Here is a 17,763-nt window from a genome sequence, read left to right as displayed (position 1 = left end):
GGATTGCTTGAGGCCAGGAGTTTGAGACCAGTCTGGGCAACATAGCGAGACTACATTTTTATGAAAAAAATTTAAAAATTAGCTTGGCATGGTCCGTGCCTGTCGTCCTAACTACTTTGGGGGTTGCGGGATGGGGCAGGGAGGATGAGGCAGGAGAATCACTTGAGCACAGGAGTTTGAGGCTGCAGCGAGCTAAGACTGTGTCACTGCACTCTCGCCTGGGTGACAGATGGAGACCCTGTCACTTTAAATTACATAAATAAATAAATAAAACAATATAATGAACCCTCATGTGCTCATCATTCAGCTTCAACACTTATCAACTCATGGCCATGTTGTTTCATCTATACCCTCATCCATGTTAATGTGAAGCAAATTCCAGATTTCATACAATTTCATGGGTAAATTCTTTAGTGTGTGCCTCTAAAAGATAAAAACTCATGTTTAGAACATAAGCTTATGTACATTATGCCTAAAGAAGTGAAAATGATTCTTTAATATCATCAAGTATTCAGTTGGTTGTTCCTATGTACCCCAAGTGTCTTACAGAAGTTTCATTTTGCTTTTACAGTTTGAATCACAATCTAAATGAGCGCCATACATTTTAATTGGCTGCTTTCTCCTTAAATCTGTTGTGATCTCTGGGGTCCATCTTCATTAGTTTTTTCTTTACAAATTTATTTTTGTAGAAGAAATAGGGTTATCTGTCCTGTTGGTTTCCAGCATTAGACTCTGATATTGCATCCTCATGGTACCATTTAACATGCTCCTTTGTTCCCTGTTATTTCTCACAAATTGTAATTACAGAAGTGACTGGTTTAGATTTAACTTTTGGGGGAAGAGTGGGACAAAACTACTTTATAGGTGTGTACTTCTAATGATACACACATACTGTCTGGGTGTCTCAGATGTTAGCAGCAAGTGATGATCACTGCTGATATTCATTAAGGGCTACAAAACTGTAATATACTGATGTTATTATCACTTTCAGTTTATTAATCGTAATATTCCTAGAGAGACTTTCCCTCATCAATTGCTTATCCCCCAAAAAAAATTAATTTAGAAAAGGAAGGACACATGCTTTTTACTTTTAATTATATCTACATTGAAAAAAAACTATTCCCATGTGATATGGTTTGGCTGTGTCCCCACCCACATCTCGAATTGTATTTCCCAGAATTCCCACGTGTTGTGGGAAGGACCCAGGAGGAAGTAATTGAATCATGGGGGCCGGTCTTTCCCATGCTATTCTCGTGATAGTGAATAAGTCTCATGAGATCTGATGGGTTTATCAGGGGTTTCTGCTTTTGCTTCTTCCTCATTTTTCTCTTGCCACCACCATGTAAGAAGTATCTTTTGCCTCCTGCCATGATTCTGAGGCCTCCCCAGCCATGTGGAACTGTAAGACCAATTAAACCTTTTTGTTCCTGGTTTTGGGTATGTCTTTATCAGTAGCATGAAAACAAGCTAATACAGTAAATTGGTACTAGCAGAGTGGGGCACTGCTGAAAAGATACCTGAAAATGTGGAAGTGACTTTGGAACTGAGTAACAGGCAGAGATTAGAACAGTTTGAAGGGCTCAGAAGAAGACAGGAAAATGTGGGAAAGTCTGGAACTTCCTAGAGACTTGTGGAGTAGCTTTGCCAAAAATGCTGATAGCAATATGGACAATAAAATTCAGGCTGAGGTGGTCTCAGATGCAGATGGGGAACTTGTTGGGAACTGGAGCAAAGGTGACTCTTGTTATGTTTTAGCAAAGAGACTGGTGGCATTTTGCCCCTGTCCTAGAGATTTGTGGAACTTTGAACTTGAGAGAGATGATTTAGGGTATCTGGTGGAAGAAATTCCTAAGCAGCAAAGCATTTAAGAGGTGACTTGGGTGCTGTTAAAGGCATTCAGTTTTATAGGGGAAGCAGAACATAAAAGTTTAGAAAATTTGCAGCCTGACTATGCGATAGAAAAGAAAAACCCATTTTCTGGGGAGAAATTCAAGCCAGCTGCAGAAATCTGCATAAGTAGCAAGGAGTCTAATGTTAATCCCTGAGACCATGGGGAAGATGTCTCCAGGCCACATCAGAGAACTTCACGGCAGCCCCTCCCATCACAGGCCCAGAGGCCCAGGAGGAAAAAGTGGTTTTGTGGGCTGGGCCCAGGGTCCCCGTGCTGCGTGCAGCCTAGAGACTTGGTGCCTTCCGTCCCAGCTGCTCCAGCCATGGCTGAAAGAGGCCAACATACAGCTTGGGCTGTGGCTTCAGAGGGTGGAAGCCCCAAGCCTTGGAAGCTTCCATGTGGTGTTGAGCCTGTGGGTGCACAGAAGTCAAGAATTGAAGTTTGGGAACCTCCACCTAGATTTCAGAAGATGTACGGAAAGTCCAATTAAACCTCTTTTTGCTCCCAGTTTCAGGTATGTCTTTATCAGCAGCAAGAAAACGAACGAATACACCATGCATTCTCCAAGGCACAATTATCACTGCAAATTCAGTAGTTTAATTGTAGGTGATGCATTTCATTCATTGCAGTTATTATCCTCCTGTTGCTCAAACTGTCTTATGTTTGGCCAATGGGAGCTTATTCAAGTTCATTCCAAATTCTTTTGATACAACCTGTTGTCATTGCGAGCTTCCTTGCTTTCCCAGACTTGGTAGAAGCTTTTTCTCCAAAGAATACTGGTTCAAATACTTGGTAGAAGCTATTTCTCCAAGGAAAACTGGTTCACCTAGATTGTGACCTTTAGGTACCACTTTCCACTAAAATGGAAGCTAAAGTCCACAATCTAGAGACTAAAGGTGCTTATTAGTACTGGATCTGTCATTACCTCTAGTTTTTTCAGCAAATAAAGCTAGGAACTTTGTATTTTAAAACTGATAAAACACATCAGAATTTGTACCAATATTTCCAATTCAGGACCACAGGTGTTAACGCCATCATTCTCACATCTGTATCTCCTTTCATCTCTACCAAAAATTCTAGTTCTCAACACCAAAAAAGAACTCATTCATTTCACAATACATACACTTAGAATCTCAGAAGAACACTATCAATATCATTAACAACATTATTGAAAATAGTACAGGTTGAGTATACCTAATCTGAAAATCCCAAATTTGATATGCTCCAAAATCCCAAACTTTTTGAGCACCAACGTGATAACTGAAATGCTCATTGGAACATTTTGGACTTTCAGATTTGGAATGCTCAAGCAGAATAATGCAAATATTCAAAAATCCAGAAATATCTGAAATTGAGGCCAGGTGTGGTGGCTCACATCTGTAATCCCAGCACTTTTGGAGGTGGAGGTGGGTGGACTGCTTGAGTCCAGGAACCTGGGCAACACAGGGAAGACCTTGTCTCTATTTAAAAAATTTAAAAATTAGCTGGGCATGGTGGCACATGCCTGTAGTCCCAGCTGCTTGGGAGGCTGAGGTGGAAGGATTGCTTTAACCTGGGAGGTTGAGGCTGTAGTGAGTGGTGATCACGCCACTGCACCTTTAGCCTGGGCGACTGCTTTCCTTATAAAACTGAATGCCTTTAACAGCACCCAAGTCACCTCTTGAATGCTTTGCTGCTTAGAAATTTCTTCCACCAGATACCCTAAATCATCTCTCTTAAGTTCAAAAAAAAACCCCATCTGAAATTCAAAGCACTTCTGGTCCCAAGCATCTTGGATAAAGGATAATCAATCTGTACAAGGTTTCCTTTGGTTCTTAGGGTAAATCTCATTAGGGATGTATAGTCAAATACAGTTGACCCTTGAACAACACAGGTTTGAACAGTGCAGGTTCACTTACACACGGATTTTTTTCAATAAAAGACCAAGCGTGCTTGCCTCTCCTGCCTCCCCTTCCATCTCCTTCACTTCTTGTGCCTCTAATACCCCTGAAACAGCAAGACCAACCCCTCTTCTTCCGTTCCTACTCCTCAGCCTACTTAACATGAAGATGGTGAGAATGAAGACCTTCAAGATGATCCACTTCCACTTAATGAACAGTAAATATATTTTCTCTTCCTTGTGATTTTCTTAACATTTTCTTTTCTATAGATTATAAGAATACAATATAAAATACATATATAAAATATGTATTAACCAACTGTTTATGTTATCATAAGGCTGCCAGTCAATAGTGGGCTATTAGTAGTTAAGTTTTTGAGGAGTCAAAAGTTATATGTGGATTTTAAACTGTGTAGGGAGTTGGCACCCCTAACTTCCATGCTGTTCAAGGGTCAACTGTAATTGTGTTTTAAAGTCATTTGGAATAATTCCTCTTGATAATTCCCCTTGGTATGGTTATGCTACCAACTGAATACATAGGCTCATTTAATTTTAAGTAGAAACTGCTTTATTAAAAATTTTGTGTAATTGTGCAAAATATTTACTTGGTTTCAAAGTCAAATTGAAAAAATAATGTAGATTCAAGGAACCTAGCTTCATTCCTTGTCCTCTCCACCCCATTTTCTTTCCTCTATGGAAAACCATTTAAAAATATTTTTAAGATTTAGTCTTTCATTTTAAAATATCTTTTTCTCTACATATATCCACTCTTCCCTTGCCATTTTTTAAAAAAGATAAATAGTATCCTAAGATATTATTTTTTTCCACTTTTTCTCCTCCACTTGATATCCTGGAGATTTTATTCCACTGAAATGGTCCTTGTTCTTTTTGACAGCTGCAGAAGCCTCCACTGTGTGGAAGCCTCCACTGTGTGGATGTTCACACATAATGTACATCCACAGGGAACTTTTCATTTAATCACTCCGCTACTGCTGGGCATTTGGGTTGTTTCCAATTTGCTACAAATCAGGTTACAATAAACAGCCTCATTCAAAAGTATTTTTGTTTTAATGTTTTTGCCAATGCATTTTTGGGAATAGTTACTAAAAGTAGAATTGCTGGCTAAAAGGGTAAATGAATGTATAATTTTGCTAGATATAGTCAGTTTCTTCCCTGTAAAGGTCATCCATTTCTTTCTTTCTTTTTTTTTTTTTTTTTGAGACAGAGTCTCATTCTGTTGCCCAGGCTGAAGTGCAGGGGTGCAATCTTGGCTCACTGAAACCTCCGCCTCCCAGTTCAAGTGATTCTCCTGCCTCAGCCTCTCAAGTAGCTGGGATTACAGGTGCTTGCCACCAAGCCTAGCTAATTATTTTTATTTTTTTATTTTTAATGAAGATGGGGTTTCACCATGTTAGCCAGGCTGGTTTAGAACTCCTGACCTCAAGTGATCCACCTGCCTTGGCTTCCCAAAGTGGTAAGATTACAGGCGTGAGCTACTGTGCCCGGCCCATTTCACATTTTCATTAGCAATGTATGGCAGTGTGTTTCCCCACAGTCTAAGAGGTTTTAGTCTTATAAAACTTCTGAATTTTTGCCAGTGTGATGGGTGAAAAATATCTCAATGTAGTGTGGTTTTGATTTGTTCTTTTTCTAGCTTTTTGAGATAGAAGCATAGATCACTGACGTTCATCTCCTCTCCCCTTTCTGTTTTAAACTAATATATCCATTTAGGATACAAACTTCCCTCAAGTATTGCTTTAACTGCATCCCACATGTGCTGATATACCATATCTTTTACACTGTATCATTCATTTCAAAATATTTTCTAATTCCCTTTGTGCTTTTTTCATTGACCCATGGATTATTTAGAGGTGTAGTGCTTAATGTTACCAAAACAGGTGAAGATTTTCTTTCTTTTTTTTTTTTTAGATGGAGTCTCGCCCTGTCGCTCAGGCTGGAGTGCAGTGGAGTGATCACAGCTCACTGCAACCTCTGCTTCCCAGGTTCAAGCAATTCTCCTGCCTCAGCCTCCCAAGTAGCTGGGATTACAGGCACGCACCACCGCACATGGTTAATTTTTGTATTTTTAGTAGAGATGGGGTTTCATCATGTTGGCCAGGCTGGTCTCGATCTCCTGACCTCAGGTGATCTGCAGGTCTTGGCCTCCCAAAGTGCTGGGATTACAAGCTTGAGCCACCGCACCCAGACTGGAGATTTACTATCTCTTCTTTTGTTTCTGATCTTTTTTTTTTTTTTTTTAGCTTAATTCCACTATGGTGAGAACACATACTGTAAATGATTTAAATGTGTTAAAATTTAACTGAGGCTTAATTTATGACTCAGGTTATGATCAAGATGGTAAATGTTCCATGTGGCTTTTTAAAAATGAGTAGTTTGTCACAGTTGATATCAACATTATAGAAATATCAGTTAGGTCAAGTTTGCTTTTTAGTAAGATGATTTATATTTTTACTGATTTTTTTGTCTGCTTAATTCTATCACCTATTGAGAGGTATGTAAAATTCCACTAAGACTGCAGATTTATGTTTAATATTTGTTATAGAACTTAAAACTATGCTATTAGTTACATATAAATTTACAACTTTCTATATCCCTAGTGATCATTTTATCATTATGAAATGTCTGTCTTTAACTGTAGTAATGCTTCTTACCTTAAATTCCATATTATCTGATATTAGTATAACTACACCAACTTCCTTTTTACTTGTATTTGCATGATATATCTTTTTTCTTTTCTGAAACAGGGTCTCACTTTGTCACCCAGGCTGGAGGGAAATGGTACAATCATAGCTCACTGCAGCCTCAAACTCCTAGGCTCAGGATTCTCCTGCCTCAGCCTCCAGAGTAGGTATGCTACTATGCTTGGCTAGGTTGGTTTGTTTGCTTTTTTTAGTAGAGATGGTCTCTGTTGTTCAGGCTATTCTCAAACTCCTGGTCTCAAGCAATCCTCCTGTCTTAGCCTCCCAAAATGCTGGGATTACAGGCATGATCCACTGTGCCTGGCTGATATATCTTTTTAAAATTTGTTTAATTTTAACTGTTGTATATTTTATATTTAAAAGCACACAATTTGGTTCATATTTGAAAACCCAGTTGATAATGTCAGTACTCCAGTACCTGAAGTACTTAGTCCTTTTATATTTATTCTGCTTACTGATATATTAGGTTTATCTGTCATTTTACTATTTGCCTTCCATTTCACACATTCCTTTTGTCCTCCTTTGTCTCTTTTTAAAAATTGATCAAATGTTTATTACTCCTTTTCCTTTAATTATACATGTTTTGCTCTTAAGTGGTTAGCCTAGAGATTGCAACTTGCATCTTCAACCTATTACACACTGAAAATACGTATTATTACTTTAATTTCATTACTTTCTTGATAATGCTAAAACCTAGCACTTTATCCGTGAATACTCATGGGAAGTTGATCTCATGTTAACCTTTTGGCTTCGAAATCTTCCCCCGTGGGAAGGGATGAAAGCTGGAGACAAACTTATGCTGAGAGAAGCTGTCCACTCCTCTCCGCTGTCCATAAATTGGACTTGACCAGAAACCAAACTGCAGCTGGGCTGGTTGGCAAAAATGATTTTGCCTTGGTGCAGCTGATGCATTAGGCCAAACTAGGCATTGATGACGGGCTGGGGGTGGGAAGGAGACAAGCACATGAGCTTGAGAATTTATGTCTGCGACTGGGTCTGTGATAGGACAAAGTGGGTGGAGCAGACGGCTGGCTCTGACCAAGCTGAGCTGCCTGCTCATCCAATGTAATGTCTACGAGCCTCTACCTGAGGAAGTGGGGGACAAAAGTAGGGGAATTACTCTACAGCAGCCCACATGGTTACATAGGACTATGTGGTAACCTGGCATACAAGCTGGTGCAGTGGCAATGGCAGCAGCTTGATGCAAGTCTAGGGCCACCGGTGGAGCCCTCTGAGCTGCAGCCTGAGTCGCGTCCTGAATGTTCTGATAGTGCAGGTGGATCAGGTGGATTTAATCCTAAAATAGAGTCTGGTTAATGCCAACTGCTGACAGTTAGTGACAATTAATGTCAATGTGAACTCAAAAACTCCCTAAGGAGACAATTAGAGATGGGCTTTTGAAGAAATAATAAATAATGACTAGTATTTTAAAGGCTGAAGCTAAAAGAACATGGGGACCCTTTAGTAAACAGGAAAGGGGCACTTTTACTTTGTTATCACTGCCATTGAATAAGGCATTGGTTTTAACGTGGGGTCCTCAGGTCAGCAGTATCACCCAGTATCACCTGGGAACTTATTAGATATGTAAATTCTCAAGCCTCACCCTAAAGCTACTGAGCTAGGAAGTAAGTCATAGGGCACCAACAATTTGTGTTTTAACAAGGCCTCCAGGTAATTCCTATCTACCCTAAAGTTTTAACTCAAGGTCGTGGAAGTCCGTCCGTGAGCCTAAAATGGAAAACAATGTTGGATGAAACTTCTAGCTTTATTTCCCTAAATATCTAATATCTGTTACAGGTAACATATGGTAAAAAATAACACTGGTTGGTAAACCTATCTGGACTGAGATGATTGTAAATAAACTACAAATACCTGATGAAAAGCCACAGCTTTGAGCTTCTGAGTGTCACGGTTCTTATAGCCAAGCCATGTCCCTCTCCAGGACTCTATGCTCATGAGGCTATTACAAAAGATATTGATTCTTTATTGGAACTTAGGGTATCTAAACTAGGGTAGTTCCCACAATTAATAAATTGATTTGTTCCCTTCTATCTGAACTGACACTTGGCAGAAAATGCGGGTGGGCAGAGAATGGCCCCTGGACTAAGGTGCGAACTATGTGAGGGCTCACTCTGGAGGTATACCTCTGATGCTGCTGCAGCGGCATGAATGTGAAATGTCTAACTGGTCCTAGGACTATCTAACGTGGTCAGTACAGTTCCCTTCTGCCTTTTATTGTTTTATTATCAATGATATTTCATTTTTATTTCAGTTCCCATCTGCCTTTTATTGTTTTATTATTGTTGTCATACATTTTTACTTTGGAAGATGTTACCGTCCATATTTTGTAAAGCCATCCTCATTTCTCTGTCTCCTCGAACATTTACCCTTTCTGTGGCTTTTTGTTCTTTCCTATATTTCTGAGCCTCCATGTGGGATAGTTTTCCTTCTGCCTGAAAAAATCCTTTACTGATTTTTTAGTACAATCTGTTGGTAAAAGCATCTTCCAGCTTTTAGTGGTCTAAAATCTTTATTTAACTTTCATTTTTAAAAAGTGAGGTATAACTTACATAAACAAATGCTCAGATCCTAAGTGTAACATTCACTTTCGACAATTAAGTAACAAAGACACAGAAATATCCAACACTCCAGAAAGTTCTTTCATGCGGTATTCCAGTCAATACCTTCCCCCACGAAGTAATCACTGATCTGATTTCTATCCCTATATGTTATTTCCCCCTATTCTGGAATTTCATATAGTTAGAATCTTAACTATGCATTTTTTTGTTACCAACTTCTTTTGTGAGAATAATATTGAGATTCGTCAATGTTGTGGATGTTGGTTCTTTTTTGCTGAACAGTATCCACCATCTCAATAGACCACTGTTTACCTATTCTTCTATTGATGGGCACCTCACTGTTACCAGTTTTATTGGCTATTATGAATAAAGCTGCTGTAAATATTTTTTTTCCAAGTATTTTGTGGTCATATGTTTTCATGTCTCTTTGATACATTTCTAGCAGCAAAATTACTGGGTCATGTATATATATGTAACTCTTTAATAAACTGACAAACTGTTTTCCAAAATAATCATATTATTTTCTACTCCCACTAGCAACATATGAGGGTTCCAGTTGCTCCACATCCTCTCCAACATTTGTCATTATCAGTCTTTTTCACTGTCTAGCCCTTCTACAGGGTATGAACTGGTATTTCACTGGGGTTTTGTTTTTCATTTCTAGATGACTAATACACTGGGTACTTTTAAAATGTAATTACTACACATATATTGTGTTTTGTGAAACATCTATTCACAAAACTCACCTTTAAAAAATTGCGTTGTCTTTTTAAAAATTACTAAATTGTAGTTCTTTATATATTTTGAACTCAAGTCCATCATATATACGTATTGTGAATATTTTCTTTAAGTCTGTGTCTATTTTCTTAAGTGTCTGTTGAAGATACATTTTATTTTTTTTTAAGCTGGAGTGCAGTGGCACAATCATAGCTCATTACATCCTCAAAGTCCTGGGCTCAAGCAATCCTCCCAACTCAGCCTCCTGTGTAGCTAGGACTACAGGCGTTGCTGGCTGATTTTTAAATTTTTTGTAGAGATGGGGTCTTGCTATGTTGCCCTGGTTGGTCTTGAACTCCTGGCTTCAAGTAATCCTTCTGTTTTGGCCTCCCAAGGTGATGGGATTGGAGGTGTCAGCCACCATGCCCAGCTGAGAAATTTTAATGAAGTCCAACTTACCAATTTTTTTTTCTTGTATAGTTCATGTTTTCTAAGAAGTCTCTGCCTACACCAAGAACTTAAAGAGAACATCTTATGTTTTGCTCTGGTAGCTTTATTGCTTTAGCTTTACTTTTATGTCTATAATTTATCTCAAGTTGATTTTTCTGGATGATGTGAGGTATGGGTTTTTTCTTCTATATGCATATCCATGCATTCCAGACATACTTATTACAGAGATTTTACTTCATTCAAATGCTGTCGTGCCCTTTGAGAAAATCATTTGACCATCTATGTAAAGGTTTATTCTTGGCCTCTCTCTTTTGTTCCACTGTTCTATTGGTCTATCATTTTGCCAATAACATACATAATGATTACTTTATTTGCTTCATTTTTAAAGGATATTTGCAGGGTACAGAGGTCTAGGTTGGTGCTGTTTTCTTCCAGCAATTGAAATGTCACTTTGTTGTCTTCTGGTTCCATTGCTCCTGCTGAGAAGTCAGCTGTCAGTCTTGGACATTTGAAAGTGAGTTCTTTTCTCTATCTTTTAAGATTCTATTCTCTGTCTTTTGTTTTTGGCAATTTGCTATGATATTCTAGTAAGGCTTCTTTGTATTTAAATCTGTGGATCACACACTTTGAGTCTGTGAAATAATGTCTTTCATAATTCTTAGGAAATAAATTCTGAGCCATTACCTCTTCAAACCTTGCTCCTGCCTTGTTCTCTCTCCTCTTCTCCTGGGATTCTGTATGTTGGATTTTTTTTTTTTTTGGATGTGTCCCACATGTCCTTTATTGCCTTATCTCCCCTCTGCCTCCACAAATTCCTTTATGTCTTTATATATCAGTTTGGATATTTTCTACTAAAAATGATTTTCTTCTTCATCTTCAGTTTGGATATTTTCTAATAACCTGTTTTGACCTATCTTTCATCTTTTCTGCTGTGACTAATCATCTGTTCTACTGTTCTACTTGTTATTGTAGTGAAAACGCATAAAATTTATCTTAACCATTCTAAGTACACAGTTCAGTAGTGTTTAGTATATTCACATCATGTAACCAACCTTCAGAACTTCTTCGTCTGGGAAAACAAACTCAATATCCATTAAACAACTTTTCACACCCCCTTCCTCCCAGTTGCTGGCAACAATCATTCTATTTTCTGTCTCTATGAATATGACTACTCTAGATACCTCACATAAGTGGAATCATTCAGTATTGGCCTTTTTGTGACTGGCTTATTTCACTTACCGTTAATTCCTCAAGATTCCTCCATGTTGTAGCATGTGTTGGAATTTCCTTCCTTTTTAAGGCTGTATTCATAGTGTGTATATCCCATATTTTGTTTATCCATTCATCTGTGGATGGGCACACAGATGGCTTCCACCTCTTGGCTACTGTGAATGGTATAGCTATGAACATGGATGTGCAAATATTTCTTTGGAATTCTGCTTTCAATTCTTTTGGATATATATCCAGGAGTGGAACTGCTGAATCATATAGTAATTCAATGTTTAATTATTTGAGAAACTGTGATACTGTTTTCCATAGTGGCTGCATCATTTTTTTTTGTTAGTTTTTATTTCATAATCATAAACTTAACTCTGCAATCCAGCTATACGTGGAGGGACATAATGAAAATATAGAACTCAAAGAACTGCAGTGAGAGCACAAATATTATAGGATATTGTGAGCGAATGGGGTGGAACGGTGCTCTCCTGAGCTACAAAAGGAAAGGTCTGGTGGTTAAGATAAAACACAAGTCAAATTTATCAGAGTTGTCTGCAGTTGGCAATGGCGATCTTGCTTGTCTTGCCATTCCTGGACCCAAAGCATTCCATGGCTTCCACAATATTCATGCCCTCTTTCACCCTGCCAAAGATCACATGCTTGCCATCCCACCATTTGGCCATGGCAGTGCAGATGAAAAACTGGGACTCATTTGTTTTGGGTGCAGCATTTGCCATGGACAAGATGCCAAGACCTGTATGCTTCACAATAAAGTTCTTATCATCAAATTTATCCCCGTAGATGGACTTGCCACCAATGCCATTATGGGGTGTGAAGTCATCACCCTGGCATATAAACTCCGGAATAATTCTGTGAAAGCAGGAACCAAATCCTTTGTCTTTATTGTTCAGAGTGTGAAAGTTTTCTCCTGTCTTTGGAAATTTGTCTGCAAATAGCTGAAAGGAGATGTGTCCTAAGGGCTTGCTGTTGATGGTGATGTTGAAGGGCACAGTCGGGATGACCATGGCCTAGTGACAGGGGGTGTTGGGGGACAGCAGTGTCTGCAAAGCCAGCTGCATCATTTTATATTCCCACCAACAGTGCACAGGTGTTCTAATTTCTACATCCTTGCCAATGCTTATTAATTTTATGTTTTTAATAGTGGCCATCCTAATTGGTGTGACATGATATCTCGTTGTGGTTTGATTTGCATTTTCCTGATGATTTGTGGTATTGAGCATATTTGCATATGCTTGTTGGCTGTTTGCATATCATCTTTGGAGAAATGACCATTCAAGTCCTTTGTATATTTTTTAATTGGGTTATTTTGTTTTTAATTTGTACAAGTTGTTTATATAATTTGGAAATATTAACCCTTTATTAGATGTATGACTTGCAAATATTTTCTCCTAGTCTGTAGGCTGTCTTTTCACTCTGTTAATTGTGTCCTCTGATGCCCAGAAGTTTTAAACTTTAATATAGTCCACTTTGTCTATTTTTACATTTGTTGCCTGTGCTTTTGGTGTCATATCCAAGAAATACATATATTGTCTTAATGCTTTTTTCCTCTGTTTTCTTCCAAGAGTTGTACAGTTTTAGGTCTTACACTTAGGTCTTTGGACCATTTTGAGTTAACTTTTGCCTATGATATAAGGTAAGGGTCCAACTTCATTCTTTTGCATATGAATATACAGTTTCCCTAACACCACTTTTTGAAGAGACCATCTTTTCCCCATTGAATGGTCTTGGTACCCGTGTGGAAAATTATTTGATTATATACATGAGGGTTTATTTTTGGGCTCGCCATTGTCTAATTTGATTTTATACCCATCAATTGAGTTCTTAATTTCAGTTATTGCAATTCTCAGCTCTAGAATATCCATTTGATTCTTTTTATCCCCCACAAGTTCCAATTATCTGGGGGGAAATTTCCCTTTTATTTATTTTCTCCCTGTCTTCTATTTTCTTGAACAATTATCATTGTTATTTCAAGTCCTGGTCTTAACTCCACTGCCTGAATCATCTGTGAGTATATTTCTATTGTCTGCCCTTTCTCTTGGTTTTCAATCCCATCTCTTGAATGTCTAGTATAATTTTACTAAAAGCTTGACATTGTGTCTAAGAAGTTGTAGAACCTCCATATGATGTTATCTTCTAAAGACAGCATTCATACATTCTTTAGCTTGGCAAGTAGACAATAAACTTAATTCAATAGCTGACTGAATTTGGGCTGCTATGACATTGTGTAAAGGCTACAGTTGGCAATGGTGATCTTCTTGCTGGTCTTGCCATTCCTAGAACCAAAGTTCACTTACCCTTAGTTTTGTCCCTTCTTAAAAGGCACCAATCTCCAGACTTTCCAAATGAAATCCCCAGACAGTCACCAAAAGCCTCTTGTCCTCACTGCTGGGTCTTGAACTCTAATACTAGCTTCCTAAAAATGGTTTTTCATAGCTTTCTACTTGGCTTTCTGGTCTCTTGTGCTTTGTAGCTTCAGAATTTGCCAATGTATTGTGAAGGGTACTAGGCTCACATCTCTGTCCTTCCCTTCTCAGCAGGACCTTAGCCTTTCTAGTATCCAATCTTATTTCTCTAGCCCTGCATGACTTTTAAAGGCTGTTGGTTTCTCTGCCCAGATCAGCCTCCTGTATTGTAGCAGATCATTCTCTCTTTAAAAAAAAAAGCTTGCATTTCCATTTTTTTCCTCTTTATAATTCCGTTTGACAATTTTCCATAATTTTCTGCTTTCATTTTCTTTTCTGCTGCATCTAGTCCATTTTTCTAAGATTGTTGACCTTCTTCCTTCCCTGTAAAAGCTCCTTAGAAATTAGGTTTAAAATCCCTTTATCTGTAATATAATTTGAAAATACTGTTCCCAGCTTTTCATTTTGTTCATTGCGCCTGTTTGAAATGCAAGTTTTTTTAAAAAAAGTTAGTTATTCATCTTTTTCCTTAGTGTGTATGAATTTTGAGTCTATTAGGAAATTTTCCCTACATCCAAGTTACAGGGAAATTCCCATGCATTTTATTTGTACTTGTATGAAGTCATTTTGTTACATTTATTTTAATCTCTGATCCACTTAAAATTTATCTTGGTGTGTAGTAGAAGGAATGGATGTAATTTTTTTTTTTTTTTTGAGATGGAGTCTCACTCTATCGCCCAAGCTGGAGTGCAGCAGCATGATCTCAGCTCACTGCAACCTCTGCCTCCCAGGTTCAAGCGATTCTTCTGCCCCACCCTCCCGAGTACCCGGCATTACAGGCGTGCACCACCACGCCCAGCTAATTTTTTTTTGTATTTTTAGTACAGATGGAGTTTCATCATGTTGGCCAGGCTGGTCTTGAACTCCTGACCTCAGGTGATCCACCCGCCTCAGCCTCCCAAAGTGCTGGGATTATAGGCAGGAGCCACCACGCCCCGTGGAATGGATATAATTTTATCTTTTCCCCTATTTAGCATTAAAACATACATTTCCTTTCACTGATGAGATGCTGCCTTTACAGTATTCGAAATTGCCATATGCAATTAGTCTTTTATTCTTTCCCATTGGTTTGTGCATTCATGCAGCAATATCAAACTACATTAATTAAAGGCTTCATGTATGTTTAATGTCTTCTAGGTTAAATCCTCCTCTTCTCCCACTGTTCTTTTTTTCAGTTTCTCTAATTATTCTTGATTGTTTCTTCTTTGAGATAAACTTAAACAATTATTAATAGCTTGCCTGGCACCAGAAAATAACATGGCATTTTTATTGTTATTGCATTAAAATGACAAACTAACTTAAGAGAACTGATATTATATGATGCTGAGACTTCACATGCAAGAACATGGTTAAGTCTTTCCATTTGTTCAAGCCTAGTTTTGTATTTTTCAGAAGAGTTTTAAATTTTGGAGATTAAAAAAAAAATTGCCTAAGGTATTTTCTTTTAAAATTCTCTTACAACTTCTGTTTTTTTAAATTGTATATATGAAAGCTATTTATTTTTGTATGATATTTTTATTTTGTATGCTATTTTTATTTTGTAAGCTATTTTTATTTTGTATGATTTCTGGCTTAATCTGTATTGGTCAATATCCATTTCCATGCTAAGAAATTTAAATCTTTGGAAATTTGTTAAGGCCTTTTTTATGGCTCAGTCATATGTTAAGTGTTCACATATGATAAATGTTCCTTCCTTGTGCATGTAAAAGAATGAATTTTGGGCCGGGCACGGTGGCTTACAGCTGTAATCCCAGCAATTTGTGAGGCTGAGGCGGGTGGATCATGAGGTCAGGAGTTTGAGACCAGCCTGGCCAATATGGTGAAACCCCGTCTCTATTAAAACATACAAAAATTCCTGGGTGTGGTGGCGCACGCCTGTAGTCCCAGCTACTTGGGAGGCTGAGGCAGGAGAATCACTTGAACCTGGGAGGCAGAGGTTGCAGTGAGCCAAGATAGCACCACTGCACTTCAGCCTGGGCAATAGAGTGAGACTCTGTCTCAAAAAAAAAAAAGAATTTTGTCACTGCTGGATTCAGTGCTTACATATGGCAGCTAGGTTCAGTTTGTAATTGTGGTGTTTTTGGTCTGCTACAATAATAACTGCTATCAGTTATTATAATTTTATTCAAATCTACTTTGATTGGGAATATGTCTATTTCTTCTGCCAGTTATGTCAATGTTTACCTTATATATTTTAGATTATGTTCTTTGGTGCATACAGTTTACAGAACATACCTACCTTGTGAATTAAATCTATATTACTTTCCTATAGCTACTGTGACAAATTAACACATACTTGGTGGTTTAAAACAATAAAAATCTATTCCTTCACAGCTCTTAAGGCAGGAGGTCCAAAATCAATATCATTGGGTCAAAGTCAATGTGTCAGCAGGGCTGTGCTCCCTTCAGAGGATCTAGAGAATCTGTTACTTCCCTCTTCTGGTTTCTCGTGGCTGCTGGCATTCCTTGGCTTGTGGCTGCATAACTCTGCCTCTATTGTCACACAGCCTTCTACTCTTCAGGATTAAGTCTCTGTCTCCTTCTTTATAAGAATACATGTGATTGGCTTTAGGACCCAACTGGATAATCCAGGATAATCGCTCCATCTCCAGATCCTCAATTTTATCTGCAAAGTCCTCTTCTTTCCATACTGTGTATGTATATAGTTTTCACAGGTTCCAGGGATTAGAACGTGGATATCTTTGTAGGGGGGCACTATTCAGCCTGCCACAGATCCCTTTAGTGTTATAAAATATTCCACTTTAACTCCAGTAATGCTTCTTATTATAAAGTTTACTTTTTCTGACAAGGGTATAGTTATATAGCCGTTTTTTTTTTTTTTTTAATCTAGCCTACATTTAATTCTTAAGTTACACAGTCTTCCTCCATGTAACTACTGATGTGCTTGGGTCTATATTCGCCATTGTACTATTTGTGCTCTACTTTTATGTACCTTTATCTTCCCTTGACTTCCTTTGGATTAATCAAATGTTCTACATGATTCCATTTTCCTTCTATTAAGTTACATTTAAAAATAATTTTTAGTTGTTAGCCTAGAGTTTAAAACATGCTTTTTTACTTATTAAGGCCAATGCAAATTATTACTTTTACTACTTGGCTGATACCAATTAAGCCTTAGGACTTTTAAACTCTATTTGCTTCCCTCTCATCATTTAAGTTATTGCTACCATGAATTTTAGATATACAGTACATAAAATTGAAACTCCTCAGGGTGTACCATTATTATTTTGTACAGTTACTATTCATTTACATATGTTTCCCAGTGTTCTTCATTCTTTCTTCCAAGTCCATATTTCTATCTTGGATTATTTTCCTGATAAACTTCCTTTACTTTTTCAGTGCAGGCCTACTGGTGCCAAATTGTCTCTGTTTTTGTTTGTTTGAACACATATTTGTTTTGCCTTAATCTTTTAAGAACATTTTGGCTGGTTTAGAATTCTAAGCCTGCAGTTTTCTTATTCTAGCACTTTAAACATGTTGTTACAATGGCTTCTAGTTTTTTTTTTTTTTTTTTTTTTTTTTGAGACGGAGTTTCGCTCTGTCGCCCAGGCCGGACTGCGGACTGCAGTGGCGCAATCTCGGCTCACTGCAAGCTCCGCTTCCCGGGTTCACGCCATTCTCCTGCCTCAGCCTCCCGAGTAGCCGGGACTACAGGCGCCCGCCACTGCGCCCGGCTAATTTTTTGTATTTTTAGTAGAGGCGGGGTTTCACCTTGTTAGCCAGGACGGTCTCAATCTCCTGACCTCCTGATCCACCCGCCTCGGCCTCCCAAAGTGCTGGGATTACAGGCGTGAGCCACCGCGCC

At 38.2% G+C, this 17,763-nt stretch overlaps 1 protein-coding gene and 1 pseudogene across 10 annotated transcripts in view; both read right to left on the bottom strand.

The window, feature by feature from the left end:
- The window catches only part of TTC17 (tetratricopeptide repeat domain 17), a 136,012-nt gene that overhangs the window by 16,061 nt on the left and 102,188 nt on the right, over window positions 1-17,763 (bottom strand). For 2 of the 10 annotated variants that reach the window (XM_011520218.3, XM_047427254.1), the window contains one exon: window positions 9,002-10,715. The exons of 7 other annotated variants lie outside the window; for them this stretch is intronic. In XM_011520218.3, coding sequence (XP_011518520.1) covers window positions 10,683-10,715 — 33 coding nt within the window. In that variant the 3' untranslated portion in view covers window positions 9,002-10,682. Of the gene's footprint in view, window positions 1-9,001; window positions 10,716-11,475; window positions 11,637-17,763 lie in introns of those variants that run through there. One more of the 10 variants, NR_164824.1, reaches the window with a different exon arrangement.
- PPIAP41 (peptidylprolyl isomerase A pseudogene 41) lies at window positions 12,000-12,479 on the bottom strand (annotated as a pseudogene).

This window comes from Homo sapiens, chromosome 11, assembly GCF_000001405.40.
Source record: "Homo sapiens chromosome 11, GRCh38.p14 Primary Assembly".
Taxonomy (NCBI): domain Eukaryota; kingdom Metazoa; phylum Chordata; class Mammalia; order Primates; family Hominidae; genus Homo; species Homo sapiens.
This window is presented reverse-complemented; position numbering and strand designations above follow the sequence as displayed.